This window comes from Homo sapiens, chromosome 6 (genome assembly GCF_000001405.40).
Source record: "Homo sapiens chromosome 6, GRCh38.p14 Primary Assembly".
Taxonomy (NCBI): Eukaryota; Metazoa; Chordata; class Mammalia; order Primates; family Hominidae; genus Homo; species Homo sapiens.
Genome location: NC_000006.12, coordinates 30,302,360 through 30,326,140, shown reverse-complemented (window position 1 = coordinate 30,326,140; position 23,781 = coordinate 30,302,360). Strand labels below are relative to the sequence as shown.

Below are 23,781 nucleotides of genomic sequence, written 5' to 3'. Positions count from 1 at the left end.
AGGCCTGTTCTTTCCACTTCTGGGGCTGTGACTTGAGTTTCTCCGCAGGAGCAGATAGTGTTTGTGTAGGGACTGCGGACTTTTGCATTACAGCCTCCCTGCTTTGCCCGCCTGCTGCTGGAAGCTTAGCAGGTCAGTGATTTTGGAGGAAGTGGGTGAGGTGATGAGGCTGGGGAAGAGTATGCTGGGAGAGGTGTGAGGGGCCCGGGAAGAGGTGATGGGGCTGGGGAGGGGCTAGTAGTGGGTAGAGGTGTGAAAAGGCTGAGGAGGAGGGGTTAGTGCTAGGAGGGGTGTGACACGGCTGGTAGAAAAGATAGCTTGCTCCGCCTCCCCGCCGCCAGCACTAGTCATGGAGAATATTCATTGAAAGAGATGAGCAGATTTTGCTGTACTCTCCTCGGTGAGAAAGGGCCCTAATTTCCGGTGTAAATTGTGCTGCTGTTTACAAACACCCTGCATTATTTAACCTCTCATCTTGGGAGCCAGAAACTATTTACTTGCTGAAAATATAATCCAGTATCTAAGGTATAAAGATTTGGGATCACACATGCTAATTACAGTTGTCTACCTTTACTGTTCCTTTTTTTGTGCCAAGAATTGAAGAAGATTAAATTTGAGAAAATTACATTTGATACCTTTTTTCACATTGCTATGTAGCCGTTAGGGATTTTAGCAGCAGCACTTGTTCTAATTCACAAGATGTCTCACTTGTAAGGGTAGTTTGAAAGCCACTAACTGGGCAGTGAGCCTCCTTAGCCGTGGCTTCGGAGGGAGAGAGAGATTTGGTTTTGATTTGTTAATTTGTGGCGCTTAAGATGTTGATAGCCCTCCTTTCTGGCTTTCTGTTTGTAGATAACCAGGAGGAATGTGATTAGACTAAGGAAATTAACAAGAGGAGGTCCAGTTCTAAGGACTGTGAAGAATGTGCTTGCCTAGAGACTGATATTAAGGGGATTTTATGCTGAATATGGAAGGAAAAAAGGGAGACTGTCTAGGTAAAACTATAAAATTATGAAGCGCAAGTAGTATGACATATAACAGGGCTTGGCAAATCTTTGCTGTAGAGAGCCAGAGAGGACATCTTTTTGGCCTTGTGGTCCATACTCAGCTTTCTCCTTGCAGTATGAAAACATCATTAGACAGTACTAAATGAAGGCTGGGCGCGGTGGCTCACGCCTGTAATCCTATCACTTTGGGAGGCCGAGGCGGGTGGATCACCTGAGGTCAGGAGTTTGAGACCAGCCTGGCCAACATAGCGAAACCCTGTCTCTACTTTTTAGTAGAGACAAAAATTAGCCGGGCGTGTGGCGCGTGTGGCGCGCACCTGTAATCCCAGCTACCTGGAAGGCGGAGGCAGGAGAATGGCTTGAAAGCAGGAGGCAGAGGTTGCAGTGAGCCGAGATCTCGCCACTGCACTCCAGCCTGGGCGACAGAGCGAGACTCTGTCTCCAAAAACAAACAAAAGCTAAATGAGCATGGCTGTGTGTCAATGAAACTTTATTATGGATGCTAAAATTTGAATTTAATAACATTTTCAAGTGTCATTAAATACTCCCCTTGGATTCTGGCCCTCCCTCCCCAGTCATTTAAAAATGTAAAAACCATTCTTAGCTTTTGACGTATACGAAGACAGATAGTAGACCGTAGTTTGCCGACTCCGGACAGGATAATAATGAAATATCCGGTATTTTTCAAGCGATAGTAATTGGGAGAGAGTGAAAACAAGCTATAATCTCTTAATTTCATCTGTCTGTTTACCACAATAATAAAGGGGATCTGAATTCTTAACACAAATTTGTTATGGCCTTTGAAAGTTGCCAAGATTTATGAATGTACGTATATTCTCTAAACAAGAAAAGGTATATTCCTTGTTTAAAAAGGATTACAGTTCAAGAAAAGTGGAATAACACCGAGTTTTGATGTTGATTTATACCAAAGGATTTTCAACACAGGAATATGCAAAAATGAACTGTAATAATGGGATGTAATTAAACAAATTTTAAATATACATTTTTAATATTTTTATATCAATAAGGGAAAACAGAAGCAATCTTGAAATGACTGAGTCATATAGAGCAAATGGGCATATAAGCAGTGTAGGTAGGAAACTGGTTGAGGTCAGATATGATGAGATGGGAGGGATGAAGGCGGGGTTTAATTGTCCAAGACTTGTGAGATTCTTACTCATGAAAAGGCAATATATCTAATCCCCCTCCATTTTTTTCATTTTTTATTATGAAAAATTTCAAACATAGAGACAGTCTTCAGCTTGCTTTTTATACTTTATAGTGGCTTTTATTGTTCCAGTTTGGTGACATAGAGCTACCTCACTCTTTTTAAAGTCTGCATTATTCATTTTGTAGACATGTGATTTATTCAACAATTTTGAGTAGACATTTAAGGTTCTTTCCACATCTTATTAAATAAAGGCTGTCGAGAACATCCTTGTACATATCTCTTTAGATCGTCGTGCCATTATATTAGTAGGATAAATTTCTGGAAGTTTGGCTGCTGGGTTCGAAGGCATGGAAATTTAAAATTCTATTAGATTTTTACAATTATCTTTCCGTAAGTGCCTGGCAAGGTGTCAGAGCCCTGGCACCGGGAAGTGGTCAACTCGCAGGTTGGTAAAATGAATTTACCATACCTACAAACAGTATAGGTTTGAAAAAAGGAAAGTTTATTAGAAAGGAAGAACTGAAACAGCCTTTGCAAAATGATGACTGAGACAGTGAAAGAAATCTAACGTAACCGACTCCATCTTGCTTCTAAGCTCCAAGCTGTTCTTGTTCATTCCTGGGCGTAGGCTGAACTAACTTTGGGAGAAACTTAGTTTATAAACAAAGAGGGTAACAGCCCTTTCCCAAAGCAGACTTCCTTCTTGTCTGAGGACTAGACTAACATTAGCCACAGGATTAGAATTTTTGGTTTAGTAGTCATGCAGCTGGAGGCTGCAAGATTCTGACCCTCCCTAAACTGCTCCTGTGATCAGTGCTTGAGGTATTTTGCAGACCCCGTACTTGATGGGTCAGCTGGCACTACCCACATCAATAAACTGGCTCTTTTTTTTTTTTTTTTTTTTTTTGGAGACGGAGTCTTGCTCTTGTCGCCCAGGCTGGAGTGCAAATGGCACGATCTCGGCTCACTGCAACCTCCGCCTCCCGGATTCAAGTGATTCTCCTGTCTCAGCCTCTCGAGTAGCTGGGATTACAGGCACCTGCCATCACGCCTGGCTTTTTCTGTTTGTTTTTTTTTTTTTGTTTTTTAGTAGAGACAGGGTTTCACAATGTTGGCCAGGCTGGTTTCCAATTCCCGACCTCCGGTGATCCACTCACTTTGGCTGCCCAAAGTGGCTCATCTGATTATGTGGCCCCCACCCAGGAACTGACTCAGTGCAGGAAGACGGTTTTGATTCCCTACAGTTTCATCCCTGACCAATCAGCACTTCTGGCTCACTGGCTTCCCCCCACCCACGAAGTTATCTTTTAAAACTCTGCTCCCCCGTGCTCGGGGAGACTGATCTCCCACACAGCTGGTTCTGCGTGAAGTACTCTTTCTCTATCACAATTCCCCTGTCTCGATGAATTGACTCTGTCTAGGCATGGGCAAGGTGAACCCCTTAGGCGGTAACAGAACACTGCAGAAGAGTGCAGTGGGGCGCCTCAGCAAGAGGACTAAGTGTGCTGCCATGGATTTTTCTTTAGAGGTATTTATGGACCTTAAGGCAGGAGCTTAGGATAGTAAAAAGAGTTTCGGCATGGCATTTCAGAGATGTATATAAATTTTAGTTACTTGTAAAAGTTGAAAGAGGCCTGGAACCAGACTTTAGATACTAGGAAAGTTTAATTACTTCTGAATTCCCAGAAAAGGAGTTTCGCCTCTGTCTGGCCCGTTTGGTGGTCACCAGGTGGTCTTTGTTCCCTTCGAAATTCCTCAGATCAGGAGCTTTTGTCTGTGGGGCCTATTCAGTGGTCAACAGGTGATCAACCTCATGGTCAACTTCAGTAAGGTTGCACCTATTTTTATCCACACCAGCATATCATGAAATACAGTAGTCCTCCCCTTATCCTCGGTTTCATTTCTCAAGGTTTCATTACTCTTGGCAACCACAGTCTGAATATTTTAAGTGGAAAATATCAGAAATAATTCCTAAGTTTTAAATTGGCACCTAAACAATTCCTGTTTTAAATTGGGCGCTGCACCATTCTGATGAACATGATGAAATCTCATGCCATACCACTCCATCCCTCCCCAGGATTTGCATCATCCCTTTGCCCAGTATCCACAGTGTATATGCAGCCTGCCTATTAGTCACTTAATAGCCTTCTTATCAATTTTACTGCCTAAGTATCACAGTGCTTATATTCATGGAACCCTTATTTTACATGACAGTGGCCCCAAAGTGCAGGAGTACTAATGATGGCAACTTGGATATACAAAAGAGAAGCCATAAAGTGCTTCTTTTAAGTGAAAAGGTAAAAGTTCTTGACTTAAGGAAATTTTTTAAATGCTGAGTTTGCTAAGATCCATGGTCAGAACAAATCTTCTATCCCTGAAATTATAAAGGAGGAAAAAGAAATTTTTGCTAGTTTTACTGTCACACTTCAAAATGGAAAAGTTGCAGCCACAGTGCATGTTAAGCACTTGGTTAAGATAGAAAAGTCATTAAAATTGTGGGTGGGAAACATCACCAAAAAAAACTTCCTATTAACAGCAATCGGGTTCAGTACTATCAGTGGTTTCAGACATCCACCGGGGATCTTGGAACATATCTCCCAAGAATAAGAGGGAACTACTGTAGTCTGTTTTCCTACAGTGGTGCCATTCCTGATATTTTCATATTTTTAAAAATTTGCTGATATTTTTATTTATAATCCTTAATAATTCCATAACAGGTCTTGTTTTGCAGGTAATGTTTTTAACCTTTTGTCAGTAGATAGGCATTTACTTCATTTCCTATTGATACTTAGTTTCCTCTTTTTTTCTGCTACACAGTATTACAATAATAACTTTCTGAACACATGTCATGTGCTGGTAGATTTTTGTGAGAAAGGTTTCTGGGTCGAAGGATATGGCATGTTTCTAATTTGATGGATGTTGCCATATTGCTTTCTCAGTAGGCTGTTAACCTTTACATTTCCTTACAACAATGTATGATCCTGCTCCCTTCCCACTTGCCCAGCAAAGATACATATTATTTATGTTTTTATTTTTTTCCCAGCCAATAAAGAGAAGTCTTAGTTACTTTTAATTTTCTCTTCCTTTAGTAATTTTGATTATGTTACTGTTTGCCATTCAGATTTTCTGTGCATTTTCAATTCTATCCTTTGCCCATTTTTCCTATTGGATTGTTTATCAGTCTCATACATATGCACACATGTATGTGTGCTTGCCCTATCCGTGTGTCCATGCATGCAAACGCACACACACACACACACCCCTACCTGTCCTCATTAAGAAATCCATCCTGACCTCCAGATTCTAATTTGCTTTCTTCGGTTTCTTACAATATTTTTTATTCCTTACATTTAAATATTTTTTAAAAATATCCTGTAAAAGGAGAATCTTAATTTTTCTCCAGAGCAGTGCTGTCCAATAGAAATATAATGGAAGCGAGCCAGGTGCGGTGGCTCACGTCTGTAATGCCAGTACTTTGGGAGGCCAAGGCAGGTTAATCACTTGAGGTCAGGGGTTTGAGACCAGCCTAGCCAACATGGCAAAACCTCATCTCTACTAAAAATACAAAAAAATTAGCCAGGCCTGGTGGCTCATGCCTGTAATTCATTCCAGCTACTTGGGAGGCTGAGGCAGGAGAATCGCTTGAACCCGGGAGGCAGAGGTTGCAGTAAGCCCAGATCGCGCGACTGTACTCCAAACTGGGTGACATCAAGACTCTGTCTCAAAAAAGGAAATATAATGCAAGCCGCTTATATGATTTGTGGTTTTCTAATTATAGCTGCATTAAAAAAGGTAAAGAGAAACAGTTAAAATTAACTTTAATAATATATTTTATTTTACCAACCTAACCCATTATATTTAAAATATTATCATTTTAACATGTAATCAGTTTTAAACAATTACAAATAAGATATTTTATGTTCTTTTGTATACTAAGTCTTTGGAATCTAGTGTATATTTTATACATAGTCACTAGGTCTGTGGTTAAGTGCTTATGGCCATTGTGGGGCTCAGAACTCATACCCGAAAATATGGTGCTGTGGCATAGTAAACTGAAGAAACCCAGAGTTCTCTGTGACCTCCCCATCCCCTACCTCCTCTCTCAAATAAGTTGAAGTTTCTTTATCTGCCTAAGATCTACACCCACCAAAGAGAACTGTTGTTTTTTCTTGCCCTCCCTTGTTAGACCCAGAGTGTACTCGCACCTGAACAGACCCTTTCAGTGTCAAAGAGAACTATTTACATGTTAATCTCTGTTCCCAGATCCATTCATTCTCCCTAGTATCAGCTCACAGCAGCTCCACCAAGCAGTGCAGAGTCCCTATTGCTTCACATTCTCTCAGTACTTGGTATTTTCAGACTTTTGAATTTTGGCCATTTTTACTGAGTATTTTCCATGATTACAAATCAGATAGTATATATTGTCCTATGTTTATAGGCCATTTGGTATTCTCTATTCTGAAACATCTGTTCTGCTCACATTTTTCCATTGAGTCATCAATCTTTTTCTTATGAAGGAGTTTTTTGTTTATTTTTTAGAAAAAAAATAACATTCATTTCTGACAGTTCCAGAGGCTGGGAAGTCCAAGGTCAAGGGGATGCATCTGGTCAGAGCCTCCTTACTCATGGGAACTCTGCAGAATCCTGAGGTGGTATGGGGCATCACATGGCAAAGGAGCAGAGCATGCTAGCTGAAGCCTCTTTTCCTCTTATAAAGCCACTAGTCTAACTCCCATGATAACCCATTAATCCATGAACATCTCTTAAAGGCCCCACCTGTCAATACTGCCACATTGAAGGTTAAGTTTCAACATGAGTTTTGGAGGGGACAAACATTCAAACCATTGCATTCTGCCTGTGGTCCCCCAAACCCATGTTCTTCTCACATACAACTATACTTAATCCCCATATCCCCAAGGTCCTAACTTGTTTCAGCATCAACTCAGAAGTCCAAAATTCCATCTGTGAAATCAAAACAAGTTATCTACTTCTAAGGTACAACGGCAGGACGGGCATAGGATAGACATTCCCATTTGAAAAGGGAAAAGTAGGCCAAAAGAAAGGGTTAATAAGCCCCAAGCAAGTCCAAAGCCTAAGAGGGCAGACATTAAATCTCAAAGCTGGGGAATAATCACCCTTGACTCTATATTCAGCATCCCCCGTACCTGGAGGAATTCCTTTTTTTTTTTTTTTTTTTCTGTTGTAGAGACAGAGTCTTACTGTGTTGCCCAGGCCGGTCTCAAACTCCTGGCCTCAAGCACTCTTCCCACCTTGGCCTCCCAGAGCCCTGGGATTACAGGCATGAGCCACTACGCCTGGACTGGAGGGGTTCTTTATACAGTCTGTGATATGGATTTGTGTCCCTTCCCAAATCTCATGTCGAATGAAAATCCCCAATGTTGGAAGTGGGGCCTGGTGGGAGGTGATTGAGTCCTGGGGGTGGATTTCCCCCTGGATGCTGTTCTTATGGTAGTGAGTTCTTGTGAGATCTGGTTGTTTAAATGTATAGCACCTCCCCACTCTCTCTCTTGCTCCTACTCCTGTCATTTAAGATGTGCCTGCTTTCTGTTCACCTTCGGCCATGATTGTAAATTTCCTGAGGCCTCCTCAGAAGCAGAAGCCACTGTGCTTCCTGTACGGGCTGCAGAACCGTGAGCCAATTAAACCTCTTTTCTTTATAAACTGAACTACCCAGTCTCAGGTATTTCTTTATAGCAGTGCAAAAACAGACACATGCAGTCTGGATATAAGCTCTTTGTCGTTTGTATGTGAATCTGGATGTAGCAGTACAGGTGCATTTAGTTTTGCTTCATAAGCATTTATTATGATTCCCGCATCTTCCTGTATATGCTTTACCTAAGTAAACAGATCTATAATAAAGTTCCTTAGAAGATTTTTTATATCTTCCTTTCCCCAACTACTATAATAAACAGCTAGTTGCCTTAGAGACCACTGCAGGTTTTACTATTTTACAACCTGGCCTTTAGTACTGACATTAGGCAAACTCAATGTTGTTTAATAGTGTCAAAGAAAATACTGAATGGTCTCCTCATAATCACACCAGAGATTTTCCAATTTGTGTTGATAGTAGGGAGCTTCTGGTGATCTGGGCTAAGGAGTAAGATAATGAAAATAGAATTTAGAATGTTTTGCTTAGGAATAGATGTCCAAATGGATAAGACAAAAAAGGGACCAGAGACAAGAATATCAGAGAGGAAATGGATGCTTAATGTGAATTGAAGGAATGTCTGAACTAGACTAAAATCCAAAATTACAAATGAGAAGCACAGGGAAACCAGGTGGTAAGTGTGTGCTGAGCAGTAGCTAGAAGCTTGGTGTGGCTGTGACTGGGGTGCCTGAAAGGGCCTGGGCTCTGCAGAGGTGTGTTGGAAGGTGGTGGGCTAGGAGGTCCCCTCTTCCCTGCCCCCCTTCCGTCCTTCCATGAGGTAATTGCATGCATGGGGTTGGGGACTGGCAGACAGGTAAGGACTTTGTCTACTAGGAGAGAAGAGAGTGAATGGGAGGGTGGAAGTGGAACAGGAGGAGAAAATAACTTAGACATAAAAACCCTGCAAAGTAATATAGCTATATCATGATATACAAGGTGCTCCGTGCTATGATTTTAAAAATAAGATATTTTTGAAGTCAGACCATCAGAAGTTCAAGTCTAGAAGTTTAGTCCTTTACTAGTTATAACTTAATTCAATGTACTCTTAATTAAGTTATAACTAGTAGTTTACTAGCTATGTGACTTCAAACAAATTACCTTTTTAAACTTAAGTTTTTAATCTGTAAACAGTATATAATACTAGAGTGTCATTAAGTGATTTTCTGTAAAGCAGTGGTTTAGTTAATGCCTTATTTGTAATGTGAAATTTACTTATAAATAGCTTGATAATACGTTTTACGATTAAAAAAATCACTGTCACTCATGATTAGTATATTTTATTTCATTTAGGCTAACTGCAGCATCCAAGATGCATGGTGATGAAATTACAATTGGATTATGTCTGTATTTCGTCTGGAAAACAGGACTTGAATGCAAAGGCAGCACCAAGCATATCTAGAGTGAAGAGTCTCAACAAGTAGCTTAACAAGATAGTTTCAGGCCAAAGATGATGTATTTAGTGGAATTTAGAGAATACCCCTTTATTTGAAGTTTTCCTATATTGTTGTACTGGAAATGCTTCACTGTATTCAGTCAACTAGAGTGGGTACATGGAATTTTGATATTGCACCTGATTTTGTCCCGTAGAACAATTTATTCCTCCAACACCTCCCTCAGGTGAAAATTCAAGAATTTGCATGGGTAGTCATTCTGATGCATATCTCCAAGCTTGTATCTTCTTCCCGCTGACAATGATGCGTTACAGTCTCTGGCTCTATCTACATGTGATGTGCAAGATGTCTGACAAAAGTCAGAGAAGCCCGTTGTTGAGTTTTGTCTCCAGATCTAAGGATCGGTACTTTTGCCAGATTGGGCTGCTTCTGTTTGAAAAAGACAAGCGTGGGGGTGGGAGAGATTGCTGGTTATCTTCCAGTACCTGTCTTCCTCTTCTTCCTGAATAAAAAATTTTAGCTGGGCACATGGCTGGCTGAATACAAGTTACATTTTTCAGCATCTTATGCAACCAGGTATGGCCATGTGACTGGCCAGTAAGGGTGAGCAGAGATGGTGTGTGCAGCTTCTGGTTCATGCCCCTTGCTTTGTCCCACTGTTTGGAGTGCAGTACAGGTATGGCGGTAAGCCCTGTCAGACCCTGTGGTGGGCCCAGTTCCTTAGGGTAGTCACCTCCAAACTTTGCTGCACATTAGAATTAGCTGGGGAACTTTTAAAAATCCCGGTTCCCAGGTCACACCATGTGTACCAATCAAATGAGAATGTCTCAGGGTGGAAGCCAGACATCATTGTTTAAAAAAATCAAGTGATTCCAGTGTGCAGCAGACTTTGGGAACCACTGCCTTGGGAGTTCCAGAGCAGGAACACTGAGGAAGTCTATGTTGCTGACAGCATTTTAGTCCAAGACTACCTACAACAAGGCCATCACATGTCAGAGAAACAGACTTCTACCTTGCCAAGCTAGACACCATTTCAGTGTCTCATGGAGTGATCATCTCTAAATTCCTAAAAAGTCGTAAGATTAGTGTTCAGTAGGCCCATGTGATATCATCTTTAGGATACAAGTTCTTGTTTTGATTTTGCTAAGCACTCCGTGGTGAAAATCAGTGGTGGATGCGGCAGCATTGTTAGTGCTTCGTGTTCCTAATTTGGTCTTAGTATCAAAAAGAGCCATCAGTTCCCAGTGCTCATCATCGGCCCCTTGGCCTTCTTCATTTCCCACTCCTTGCTAGTTAAATTCAGGGGCTCAATGGGTAGGTGATCCCAGTACTTGTGGCCACTTATGTGACACAGATTGATTTATTCTTGACAACTTAGTGTGCTTTCTCCATTTTGGTCAATGATGTGGGTAGTCATCCAGGTAGATATCCTGTCCTATTTACCAGTTGCGAGTTTCTCATTTCCTAATTGGTTTTCCTACCTTCAGCCTTGCCACACTTTGATCCACTTGTACATTACGGAAAGAAGTAGCTCTAAAATAAGACCCTGTAACTGCTGCTTAACAGCCTTCATTAACAGCTTTTTGTCTCAAAGTCCAAACACAAGGTCTTTCACCATTCAGATTTAAAGAGCCACCACTTTCCTTGCCATGGTGAGGGCCAGCGTTACTATATTACATTCATTCCTGTTGAATGAGATGCAGCTTTAGATTTTTTTCATTTTACTGTATTCCAAGTTAGAGTTGGCTTGAAAGATGAAAGATGTCATGGTTTGGGTTTACCAAGAAGCAGACTGTGAGATAAGAATGTGAGTATAAGTAGTTTATTTTAGAGGTAATCTTAAGGAATCTCCCAATTACACTGTGGACACTTGCATCTCAATCCCACTGGAAAACTCAACACTAGAATAGTTCTCAGTTATACCACCCAAGGGGGGAAGAAGCTGGAGCATTTATCTACCAACTGCCATTTTGCCGTTGGTTGAGTGCTGCTTTCAGGGATATTAAGCTTTCCCTTGGTGCAAATTAAGCATCCAAATCAGCCAGAAAAAAGCTTACTGAAAGAGCAGTTAGTAGCCTTCACACAGAGGTGAATGCCTGAGGCAGGGCTAGCTTCATGGACATATACCTATGGAGTTGGTTTACTGGTCTGCTGCTGTCCTCTTGAAATTCTTGAACAAGGGACCCCACGTTTTTGTTTTGCACAGGGATTCACAAATTCTGTAGCCAGATCTTGGTCTAAGGGAATATAAATGGTACAGCAGTAGCTTCTGTTACAAAACCTATTTGTCATTCCTGTGAATTTCTAAGCAGGGACCATTTTTATGCCTGCTGTCTGGTACTATGCTTACCATTGAAGGTACTCAATGAATGTTTGTTTCAAATGATTAAATTTTCTTTTCCATTTTAATTTTTTTGACAGGTAAAAGTCTTGCAGTGAAAAACCCGAGGACCCTTACCGCAAGTGTCTTTTGCTCCCAGCTACTGATACTGGATTCCACTCGTGATTCTCCCTTTCTTAGCGCATTCATGATATAGACATCAGTCTCTGAGCTGGAGGAGGACAAAGGCAGCGGTCCTGTGAATTCTATGCTCTAGCTTGGGTTAAGGGATTTGGAATTGCACTTGTTTCAGAGGTATGTTAGAGGCAGGAAGAAATCACATAGCGGGTGTCTTGTAGGCAGGAAGAGTACTTACTAGGACTTGAAGACTATGTTAAAGGTTCTTATGTTAATTATCTATTGCCCTGTTTTTCTCCAAAGATTAATGGTTGAAAACAATAAACTTGTATTGTCTCACAGTTTGCGTGGTTAGGAATCTGGAAATGGCATAGCTGAGTGGCTCTGGCTCAGAGTCTAATGTGGTTCCAGTCGATATCAGCTGGGGCTGCAGTTCTGAAAGTGTGAGCAGGGCTGGAGGATCCTCTTCCAAGGTAGCTCACTCATGTGCCTGGCAGGGTGTGCTGGGTGTGCCTGAGGCAGAAGGTGTGTTTCCTGTCACATAAGTCTCCTTTTAGAGTGTCTTCATGGCATGGCTGCTAGCATCCCCCAGAGCAAGTGATTTGAGAGCGAGAGCAGGGAGAAAGCTACATTGTTTTTAATGGCCTAATTTCAGAAGTCACATCTGTCACTTCTGTTTGTTAAAAGCAAGTCATCGAGCACTGACCACACTCAAAGGGAGGGGAATTAGGCTCTGCCTTTTTCAAAGGAAGCATATCACAGAACTTGTAGATGTATATAAAAACACCACAGGGTTTTTAAAGAGTCTCATATTATAGAGCCTTGAGAAGTAAATTCCCATGCCCTTTACCTTACCTGTGAAGTTGCTAATCTGATACTAATTGTTCATTCTCCTGCTGTTCTGCTCAGTGTCCCTTCCCGTGTGTTGATACAATAACTAGGGTTTATAATCATCCTCTGAGAAGATAAATGTTGGGCACATAGAAGGAAAATAGATGGAGTGGTGGTGGTATGCATTTATTTCCTAGGGCTGCTTTAACAAGCTACCAAAAACTGGGTGGTTTAAAACAACAGAAATTTATTTGGTCAAAATTCTGGAGGCCAGAAGTCTGAAATCCAAGTGTCAGCCAGGTTGGTTCCTCCTGGAGGGTCTAAGGGAGCATCTATTTCATGCCTCTCTCCTAGCTTTTGGCATTTGCCGGCAATCTTTGGCATTCTTTGGCTTGTAGGCTTGTCACTACAATCTCTCCCTCCATCATCACATCACATTCTCTATGGGTGGGTCTCTTTGCATCCAAGTGTCCCTCTTACAAGGAAACTAGTCATTGAATTAAGGGTCCACCCTTAATTCAGTATGACCTCATCTTAACTTGATTATATTTTCAAAGACCCTATTTCCAAATAAGATTACATTCTGAGGTTCTGGGTGGACATGAGTTTGGGGGACACTGTTCAAACCAGTACAGGGTATAGATAATAAAACTCATGGGTGTCTCTAGATACTCTTCACCAGAGAGGAGAGTTTCCATGACACTACAATAGCCAGATGTCCCTGATGCAGGCATGCAGTTGGGCATGAACTAGTCAGATTGTAGGACTGTGGCTGCTACTAGCTCATATGTACATATCTAATTATAGGAAGCTAAGAAAATTAGTATTAAGTACAAGAGGTTGAAAATGGTAATAGCATGAAGATTATTCCTCAGAGCACTTTTCTGTGCCCTTATTGTCAAGTGGTCCTGGGAAATGGACTTTTATCAAGTCTGACTCTTATGTTACCACCTTGCTTGAGTGCTCAGTGCCATGAGATCGTCCCAGAGGTGATCCCTTGCATACCCTGGTCTTTAGGCAAAGCCTTGTTTTCAAATCGCACAAGTAAAAGATGTGCTCTGCTAAGTGACATTTCAGTGGAAGAATCAGGATATTGACAGAGGAAGCACTTTTACCTCTTGACTGGTATTTCATAGGCTAGGAAAGTATGGAACTTGATTTTCCTGTTTCTCAAACTGGCTCTATTTCTTTAGGAAGGGACCAAAAGGAGCTGCCCCTAGTATAGGGAGCAAACAGAGGTTTTCTATAAATGTTAAATTAAGGAATTTTTTTCTCATAGGGATAGCTGTTGGCATAATAGTAGCTAATGATTATCTATAGTGACTCATTGGACTTCCACAACATCAGTATATGATAGGTTTCATTACCCCATGTCTCTCCCCACCACCATTGCCATCCATCAAAACTAAATTATTGATGGTTTCCTAAATCTAATGTCTTGTTGCACCGCTTGATGCTTTTACTGTTTCTTCTTCCTGGATTTCCCTTTGCTTATATTGTGAAGCCCTCCTAATCTTGCTCTAAATGTCAGGTTATTAATGTTTTTCTCTGTACTACTTTTATATGTTTAACTAGTATTGTTGGATTATTGATATTTTCATATCTGAACTGTGCTACACTGGAGAGCTACTTTAGCATGGAGATTGGTTTTGTTTTTCATTCCCTAATAGTGCCTGACGTGTGGGGTGGGGGTGGGGGCTCAGTTCAAAGAAGGAACCCAAGGCTCAGCATGATTGAGTAATTTGCCAAAGGTCACACATCTGGTGTATGGCAGAGCTAGAAGAAGAATCCAGATCTTTAGCCACTTACCAACTACAAAGAGAAAAACACTGCACAGAAGTCAGGATGTCCAAGGACTAATACTGGGTCAACAGCTCTTGTGTTACTCTACCTTGATGAGATATTTTACCTTTGTGAAATTTTCTTTATCATTTGTAAGGCTATTTCTAGATCCGTGAACTGCAAGTTATATTTTTATGCATTTTTCCCCAAGGAATTGGAAAAAGTCTCAATATCAATATTCTATTCTATATATTCTTTTAAAAATCAATGTCTGAAGAGGGAAGTTGTAATGTAGGTGTAGAGAATGTCCTTCTCTGGCTCAGAGTATTAGGAAGTTGGACTAGGCATTCTGTAGGGCCCAGGGCTCCTCTTGACTATTGTAGCCTGAGTCTTCATACCTTCCCTGAACACTCTCCATTGATGACTATATAGCCCTTTATTTATCCTTTCCCTCATCAGCATGTTGAGGTGTCACATTTCCTCAGCAGTCTTGCTGGCGTGGGTGTCATGTGTTGTGGGGAGGCCGGGGTGGGGTGGGGGTGTGTGCGGGGTGGTCCTTTTTCTGCTGTCCAAGGTCCTGAAGATGTGTTTCTGTGTTTCCTGAAAGTTTCTCAGTTTCCCAAATGCAAGTTTGAGATTTTATTTGTTTTTGAAGAAATTAAAGAGATGATAGGTGATCTGCTAATGACTTATTGGAAGTCATAGGAGAATGGAGGGAACTACCCAGGTGATGGTGTTAGAGTTTGATTTTCTGTTCTTTTTTTTTTTTTTTTTTTTTTTTTTTTGAGACAGAGCCTTGTTCTGTTGCCCAGACTCGAATGCAGTGGTGCAGTGGTGAATTCTCAGCTCACTGCAATCTCTGCCGCCTCCCGCGTTCAAGTAATTCTAATGCCTCAGCCTCCCAAGTAGCTAGGACTATAGGCATGCACCAACATGCCCAGCTAACGTTTTGTATTTGTATTTGTATGGGGTTTTGCCATGTTGCCTGGGCTGGTCTCGAACTCCTGAGTTCAGGCAATCTGCCTGCCTCGGCCTTCCAAAGTGCTAGGATTACAGGCATGAGCCACTACACCTGGCCCAGATTTTCTATTCTTTTGCATTCCTCTCTCTTCTAGTCCCTTTCCTTTGGCTGTCTTTTTTTTTTTTTTTTTTTTTTTTTGACATTGTCTTGCTCTATCGCCAGGCTGGAGTGCAGTGGCATGATCTCGGCTCACTGCAACCTCCGCATCATAGGTTCAAGTGATTCTTCTGCCTCAGCCTCCCAGTAGCTGGGACTACAGGCACATGCCACCATGCCCAGCTAATTTTTGTATTTTTAGTAGAGACAGGGTTTCACCACGTTGGCCAGGATGGTCTCAATCTCGACCTCGTGATCTGCCTGCCTCGGCCTTCCAAAGTGCTGGGATTACAAGCGTGAGCCACCTTGCCCTGCCTCCTGTGGCTGTCTTGTTGAGTCATTTGTCTCTGCTTTTCTTGTTGCTCTGGTCTCAGTCTTGTGATTTACTCCTAGAGGTGCTGGCAAGCCTGAGCTCAGATTTAGGAATAATGGGGTTGGGACAGGAGAAGGATGAGATAGGGACTAGCAGCTGATGAAAAGGAAGGGTGGACATATTCATCGTAGGGGTTTCAGGAACTCCATTATCTCACACTCAGCCCCTTTGTCATCTCTGGGATCAACACAGTGTTATCATCGATCAGCCCCCAGATTCACTTCAGTGAATCTGTAAAGAACAAGCATGTCCTCCTCATCCCACGAATTCTGCTGCTTAGAAAGCCACCTGAAAGTGATAGCCCTTAAAGTCCTCAGTCTGCCCCTTTAGAGCACCACAGAAAGATCCCTGAATGGAGATCCTGACCCTTAAGTATGGAACTGCTGGGAAGAGCTATTTGGAGATTATCATTACATGGAGGGTTAGTAACATCACTTTCTCTTCCCTTTATCCTCATTTTTTTCCCTTAAAAAAAAACACACACACCCACACAACCATTTCTTTGCTATTTGCTGTTGGTATCCAGTATGCCATTGCTTTCTTAATTAATGAGATACATTTTCCCTTCCTGTATGCCTATTTTAATGGTCAATTTCTGATATCTCTAAACATGTCTTTGTTGTCCCCTCCCTCCATTTCCACTTCCACTGTCCTATTTCAGTTCTGGACTATAACAATTGCCTCCCTACCTTTATCTGAGCATTTGGTCTCACTCTCTTGCCACACTCCCAGTCTTTCCCCTGTATGGCCTCAGTGATATTTCTAACAAAAAACTCTGACTATAGTATTCCCCTACTCAGTCATCTTTAATGATTCTCCTTCACCTCTTGAGTAAAATCTAAATCTTTTTGGAAGGGTGTTTGAGGTTCCTCATGGTTTTGTCCATTGGGCTGGACTAAGGTTATGGATGAGAGACTTGTGAGGAAGAAAAACCAGTTCTAGAGAAATAAAGGCATGGCATCTTTGCACACTTACAAATGCAGGAAGAGAAGGTTTAAAACCATCTTTCTAGAATATGCCCTTTGGCTGGTGAAAAGAGCAAAGTTGATCCTTCATATTCCTCCTTTTTCTTAAAATCATAAATCTCTCCTCTACTTCCTTCTCTTTTGCTTTCAAATCAGCATTTTTAAAAGCCATTTCTTGGCCTGGCACGATGGCTTATGTCTGTAATCCCAGCACTTTGGGAAGCCAAGGCGGGTGGATCACCTGAGGTCAGGAGTTCGATACCATCCTGGCCAACATGGCGAAACCCCCATCTCTACTAAATATACAAAAATTAGCTGGTGCGGTGGTGTATGCCTGTAGTCCCAGCTACTCAGGAGGCTGAGGCAGGAGAATTGCTTGAACCTGGGAGGCAGAGATTGCAGTGAGCCGAGATCGCATCGCTGTACTCCAGCCTGAGCAATAGAGCTACACTCCATTAAAAAAAAAAAAAAAAAAGCCAGGCCAGGTGCGGTAGCTCATGCCTGTAATCCCAGCACTTTGGGAGGCTGAGGCGGGCAGATCACGAGGTCAGGAGATCGAGACCATCCTAGCCAAGGTGGCAAAACCCCATCTCTACTAAAAATACAAAAATTAGCCAGGCATGGTGGCGCGTGCATGTAATCCCAGCTACTCGGGAGGCTGAGGCAGGAGACTTGAACCAGGGAGTCGGGGGTTGCAGTGAACCGAGATCACGCCACTGCACTCCAGCCTGGCTACAGAGCGAGACTCCGAATCAAAAAAAAAAAAAAAAAACAAACAACAGCAACAACAAAAAAGCCATTTCTTGATCCTGCTTACCTGTGTAACACCATCTTCTCTTTCGCTGCAGTGAAGTTGTCTGTGTTTATCTCTGTGTTTATCTTCGTTTCCTCAGTTCTCATCATTCTTGAACTTCTGCAGTCCTCCTTCCTCTTGCTACTCAATTTACACTATCCCCATGGTCATCAGAGGTTTTTCCCTTGGTCTTCTTTCTGGCACCTGATACCACTCAAGCTACTACTTCCCCACGTCTACATTTGCTCTCTTTTGTCCCAGAAAATTATTGGATACAGTCTAGGATACAATTGCTCCCTTTGTCCCCACATATACCCTACACACCTTGCCTCTCCTACAAACCTATCCAGAATCTTCTTAATTCCCCTCACATTCCCAAAATGAGCTGAGCAGTCTTTGAAGTAAAAATTAAGCTATAGTTAAGTTTCACCTCCATTTCACTTGTGCATTTTACTCCTTTTTTTATTTTTTTAAACCTCTTTCAAATGATCCTTGGGCTTCGAGTACCATGATCTACCCAGACTTGCATTCCCTGGGCTGTGTTCTAGTTCTGGTCATGTCAGCTTTTCCCTTCTGATGAATCCTTGTAATTACTTGAGTCTCATTCTGTCAGGCAATAGCCACAGTGAAGAAGCCAGTGTGCGTTATGGCAAAGCCCAGGAAGACGTAGGTGTGAATTTTTGCTTTACCATTTCTTGCCTGTGTGACTTATGCCATGGGGCTTCACTGGTCTGGGTCCCAGTTTCTCATCTCTTAGATGACATCATTTTGTTGGGAGGATTACATGGAGTGATATGTATAATATATCTGATAACTAAGTGGTTTCAGTTAGTGGTAGTTGTTTTTATTTGACATAGTCTTGATAAGTATTAATTTCTTCCTAAGCCCAGGGTATTTGTATTTTGACAACAAATAAGTTTTAAGTAAATCAATCTATAGATATTATGGAAATCTGGACCCCTATATCCTAGCTGAGGAAGGGTATCTGGCACCCATTGCCACGTAGGAGCCCCTGGGCTCCAGGACACCAGGGAAAAGAGGTTAAATAGGTCCCCCTCCTCTGACATGATACCCAGTGATTCAGTCAGGGTACAATTGGGAAAACAACCCATACCCCAGGGACTGGTTACAAAAGTCTTGAATAGCTAAACGCAGAACAGGATGGTTAAGTTGCATTATGTAGACAACAGTGATTCAGGTGGGCAGGCCCTACCTCCTTGAGGTGTTATCTGTGGACAGATTTTTGTGCGATTGTGGCACAACCCTGGGTTTCTTTCTTCATGTGCCTGTTCTTAATGGGCCCAGGAGAGGTAATTCAAGGGAGCAAGGGACCTGTAGAATGATCATGTCCTCTTTTTTCTAGCCATAAGGTTATGAATCATATATCTCGGGGGTGTGATTCTGAAGGAAAGAAGTGTGTGCCATAGCAGGAGAATGGAAGGCAGACAGCTGTTGCTATTACTAGAGTTTTAGCAGCCCCCGTAACTCAGCTAGCCCAGACTAGGATCTCAATATGGGGTGAGATGTATTTTCCAATATTGAATAGCAAATGATGTAACTTTGTCATCTTCATGTTGATCTTAAACATCTCTCTGATGAACAGTATAAGAAAACAAATGATCACTTAGAGGATCCTGTTTGGTAGTTAAAACCGTATTAAAATAGAGAGGGAAGAAATTAAGCCTCCTTGATGGTGAAGAGATTGGGAACCACCACTCCAGTGTTAGAAAATGTCAAATGACAGAAGGTGGGCTATATTAAGTGGGAATTTCCAAACCCCACCCCCTGGAAGGAAGGAATGCTTGGTGACAAGCCTTAGAGGAGAGAGATGCTTGTCTAGCCCATTGCCTGTGTGCCCAGGAAGAGATGTGCATACCTTGAGATATAGAGAAGACTCTAGTGGGGAGAAGCCCCAGGCCAGCTTGTCAGCACAGGGCATCGGAGGCCCCCAACCAGCTCCAAGTTCTGAACAGCACACAGCCTTCAAAGGCTTGTACTGCTGCTCATACCCAGCAGAGGCCTTGCACCAGGCCTCCCCATGCAAATCAGTGTCCCCGCAGCGTAGGTAAAGGAGCTCTAGCTGTGCTCCCTATGGGGGAACAGATATACCGTGGGACACTGAGAGACTGGAAGATTGCCCAACATTTATTTACTGATCTGTGTTCACCACAGAACCTAAGGTATTTATTGGTATTGTTTCAACCAGTACGAGTGATTCTTTCATTTAGTGGTCATCTCTGCACTCCACCACAGACTTTTGGGAATTACAAGATGAAAAGGGCCACATCCTCACCCTGGCATAGCTCAGAAAATTTGGTTGGGGAAGTAGGGACATAGACGTGATCACTACACCATAATTTACTAAGCTGTGAGAACTGGAGGTGCATCAGTGACCAGAGTGCATTTGAGCCAGAGGTAGAAGGTACTGTAGACAAAAGGAACAACATGCGCTCTAGGCTGTATCATTAGGTACAATTTTCTGTCCTTGGGGGAGTCTTTTTAACCCTAAGACAAAAATTATGAATATAGAAAGAGGCCACGGTTCATCTTTGCAATTCTTTCAGGAGAAAATTTGCTGCAACTCACTTTCTAAGTTTAAAAAAAAAAAGAGTAAATGATATGAATATCACCTGAAAGAATTTGAGGTCTCAAACTTGGGAGGATCTTTGAACAACAATCTTGGGGAATGCCTAACAGTTCATACTCATTTCTTGATATCTACAGATGGAAACTCTACAGCCTTACATATATTTCTTTTTTCTTTTAACTACTTTATACTCACAGAAAATCAGTGTTCAGCACTTCTAATAGCAGGTCTAGTGGAAGCTTGAGATCAGAACAGAGTTCCATAAAGGGAAACTGAGGGCACACAAGGCAGAGCAGTACCCCCTTATCCATGGGGACCTGTCTGACTGGAAGTAAGGGAGAAGATTCTACTCCACAGAGAATCAGGGAAGGTTAAAACTGTGTGTGTTTGTGACACTTTTGCTCTCTTGGGCCCAGATACAGGCCGGAAATCCTTTGGGTTCTGGTGACTCAAAGTGTGGCCAAAAGGACCAGCAGCTTTAGCTTCTCTGGGAGAACATATGAGTGCAGAATTTCAGGCCTGCACCAAGTTTTTAAACGTCTGCATTTTAACAAGCTGCTCTTAATTTGCTTACGTATTAAAATTTCCAGAAGCACTGTTCTAGGACCATCTTTAAGTGTTATCCAAAAACATGTAAGATCTTTTTTCAAAGCAAATTCTCAAGCTCTACCCTAGAGGGATTGCTTCTGGTTCTCTGGGGTTGGTGCAGGAATCTACATTTTCGGCAAGTGCCTTAGATCCTTGTGCACACTAGCATTTGAGGATTGCTGCCTTAGATGGTGGGAAATCTGAGCAGGGGAGGGCTGTGGGCTGAAAATGAAATGATGATGTTTAGGAACTGGCACAAGCATGCTTCTGCTCCTGGTGGGAAGCAGTGGGACAGATCCAGTTGATTGTAGAGAATGCAGACCTCGTGTCATGCTCAAGTGTCACCTTAATGTAATGGCTGGAGACAGCCACATATGACCCTCTCATTGTCCAGTCAGTAAGCTCAATCAATGACAGGAACCACTGACTCTGGTAATTAAAAACTTATTGTGGCCGGGCACAGTGGCTCACGCCTGAAATCCCAGCACTTTGGGAGGCAAAGGTGGGCAGATCACCTGAGGTCAGGAGTTCAAGACCAGCCTGGCCAACATGGTGAAACCCCATCTCTACTAAAAATACAAAATTAGCTGGGCGTGGTGGGGTTGCCTATAATTCCAGCTACTCAGGAGGCTAAGACAGGAGAAACACTTGAACCCAGGAGGTGGAGGTTGCAGTAAGCTGAGATCGCATCATTGCACTCCAGCCTGGGCAACAAGAGTGAAACTGTCTAAAAAACAAACAACAACAACAACAACAAAAACACTTATTGGTGGGCAGGTTCTCATAAGAGGCCATGGGAAAGCCATGTCCTATCTCAGGGACACAGGGTCATCTGGGCCTCTGGCTAATAGAGGCCAAATAATGGGACTATTTTCCCTGTGAAATCCTGAAAACCAAAAATGGTGGCGTCTTTATCTGCATTAGCAGAGGTAATTTGCTCCTTCTTGAAATCCAAGGTCACGTCTACTGTCTGGGGATTTTGATCCAGGGTCAGTGTGGTTTCTCCTTTACAGGAGAGCCGAGTCTCAGAAAGGTGAGGTGGTTTGTGTTGGTCATTGGCTACCTCAGATTTTAGAGCAGCTCTACCTTGATTGTGGGGTTGACCTAATTTTTTTTGCTGTCTTCTTTCTTCTCCAGGTGAGGAAAGAGGACTTCCTGTATATCTCTATCCTTTTGTTTCCATTACTCACTTTCTGTGGCTGCTGCTGCAGAAGCCACTGCTGACTGATGTGGATACCTCAATCTTTGGTTTACAAAAAGCCTAGGTGTCTTTTGGCCTCTCTCCAGGTTGATAGCCATGGCTCCTGAAAGAAATAAAAGATGATCATCTTTCTAAAAAGTCTTAAGTCTGAATTATTAGTAACTTAACTGGAGAATCTCACTTTTCCTACTCTCGTATTTTAACCACAGTTGCTCTAACACAGACCTTTGAGGATCTTTTCATGACTTCATTCACAAATACCTATTTATGCTGTACAGATGCTACTAGGAAGGAAATAGGGATGTCTGTTTTGACTGTGGAACTTAACTTGGTCTCGTCTCTTCGTGCATGCAACCCTGTCCTTGGGATAGCTTTCTTGAGCATATCTACTTATGTTCAAGAGGTAAATTGTCCTGAAACCCCCATTGCTATAAGTATTTATTTTATTACTCATAATACTTAATGCTCCTAAAGTTGGGGTATTTTTTTTTTTGGATACCTAAACTTCATTGAGATACTTTGAACTATTTATAGAGAAAACGGAACCTTCTAATACCTGGCTTCTATTTCTTAAAATGTTATGATCATACATGGCTTAGGGCTTTATGGCCAAATAACTTCACTGAACCCAGGAAAAAGAATAGATCCATCTGAAACAGACCTGTAGCTTCCAGAGGCCTAAATTTTCGGCTCCATTTGTATCCTTCATTTTCTGTGAGGTAAAGAAGTGGAAGGAGACAAGCCTCAGCCCTTCCCCTGGCACCTTTACTCTTCGCCCTTCCTCCTGGCATGGTGGAAAGTGCACTGGAGGAGGAGTGAAGGGCCCTAGGTTTGCATCCATATTCTGCCACTTGCCAACCTTAATGGCCCTTACAATTGATTTACCCTCATGAAATTTGGAATGATTTCTAAAGTCTTTCCTCGCCCTGAATGTTAACATTTTTTGATAGTCAGGACTTTCTGTAGCTTCACCTTCCTTATTTAGTGTTATTTTTTTCTCAAGACTGAACAGAGAGGGAAGCTGTCAAAGTGTGCTGGGCACACACCCTGCAGTGGGGCAATGGCCAATTCTAATCTCAAGTCATTAGGCTGCAGTAGCATGACCACTGCTTCCTGTCTACCCTCAGAGGGTAGAGACAGCTGAGCTCCTGTAGTTGGGGTCAGGCCCAGCCACTCTGTGGGGACAGTGATTAGTGTTGTGTCACCAATTCAGGGAAGGAGCCACCTTGTCTTATTTTCCCTCTTGAATTATCTTGATATGACCCCATTATAAATTTCCTTTTGTAAACCTCTGTCTCCCAATTTCTCCTTTTAGCTTACTTTCTATTGAAGTAGAGGAACAGAGTACAACTTCCATCCTCTTTCATCAGCCCTGAGAGCAGAACGCAAGCGCCGTTACTGGGAACTATATCCTTGGCTCCCTGGATGTGGCTATTAACTTCTGGCCTGCCACTCTATCACATACACATATGGAGATGGTGTCATCCATGTACCTTACCCCGTATTTACAACTTCTATCACCCAACAGTGCCAATGGCCCTGATGGTCCCTCTGGGAGGGAGAGAAGAGTAAGCTGGAGTCACCCCTTCCCTGTACTTCCCACCTCGCCAGGCCTGTTGGTGTTAGTGTCCCTTCTGATCTTGGCCTGACCCCTGTGCCCTGGGCACTGGGCTGCAGGTTGGAGAGGCAGCATGATGGAGTGGGGATAACACATACTCCAAAACCAAACAGAAGCCAGACCTGGGTTGGGTCCTGGCGAAACAGTCTAGAGGCTTGGTGACCTTAACCTCCTAATTAATCTTCCTAAGCATAAGTTTCCTTATCATAAGTTATGTATGATAAAATTTTC

The 23,781-nt window shown here is 42.4% G+C and overlaps 2 long non-coding RNA genes across 5 annotated transcripts in view, besides 2 other annotated features; both read left to right on the top strand.

Moving 5' to 3' along the window:
• The window catches only part of HCG18 (HLA complex group 18), a 39,760-nt gene that overhangs the window by 1,016 nt on the left and 14,963 nt on the right, over nucleotides 1-23,781 (top strand). Inside the window, exon 2 of one of the 4 annotated variants that reach the window (NR_024052.2) lies at nucleotides 11,659-11,872. The exons of the other annotated variants lie outside the window; for them this stretch is intronic. This is a non-coding gene — a long non-coding RNA (HLA complex group 18). The remainder of the gene's footprint in view (nucleotides 1-11,658; nucleotides 11,873-23,781) is intronic. 4 annotated transcript variants of the gene reach the window in all.
• The window catches only part of HCG17 (HLA complex group 17), a 92,096-nt gene continuing 68,321 nt past the window's right edge, over nucleotides 7-23,781 (top strand). Inside the window, 1 exon segment of the long non-coding RNA NR_052012.1 lies at nucleotides 7-132. This is a non-coding gene — a long non-coding RNA (HLA complex group 17).
• Nucleotides 535-1,178: an enhancer, noted in NCBI's record as "NANOG-H3K4me1 hESC enhancer chr6:30292740-30293383 (GRCh37/hg19 assembly coordinates)". NCBI's record gives its function as "activates a minimal SCP1, AML or CMV promoter by ChIP-STARR-seq in naive H9 embryonic stem cells {active_cell/tissue: H9 hESC(naive)}" and the evidence as "EXISTENCE:reporter gene assay evidence [ECO:0000049][PMID:30033119]".
• Nucleotides 14,623-14,823: a silencer, noted in NCBI's record as "peak5752 fragment used in MPRA reporter construct". NCBI's record gives its function as "represses an SCP1 promoter by STARR-seq MPRAs in K562 erythroleukemia cells {active_cell/tissue: K562}" and the evidence as "EXISTENCE:reporter gene assay evidence [ECO:0000049][PMID:32103011]".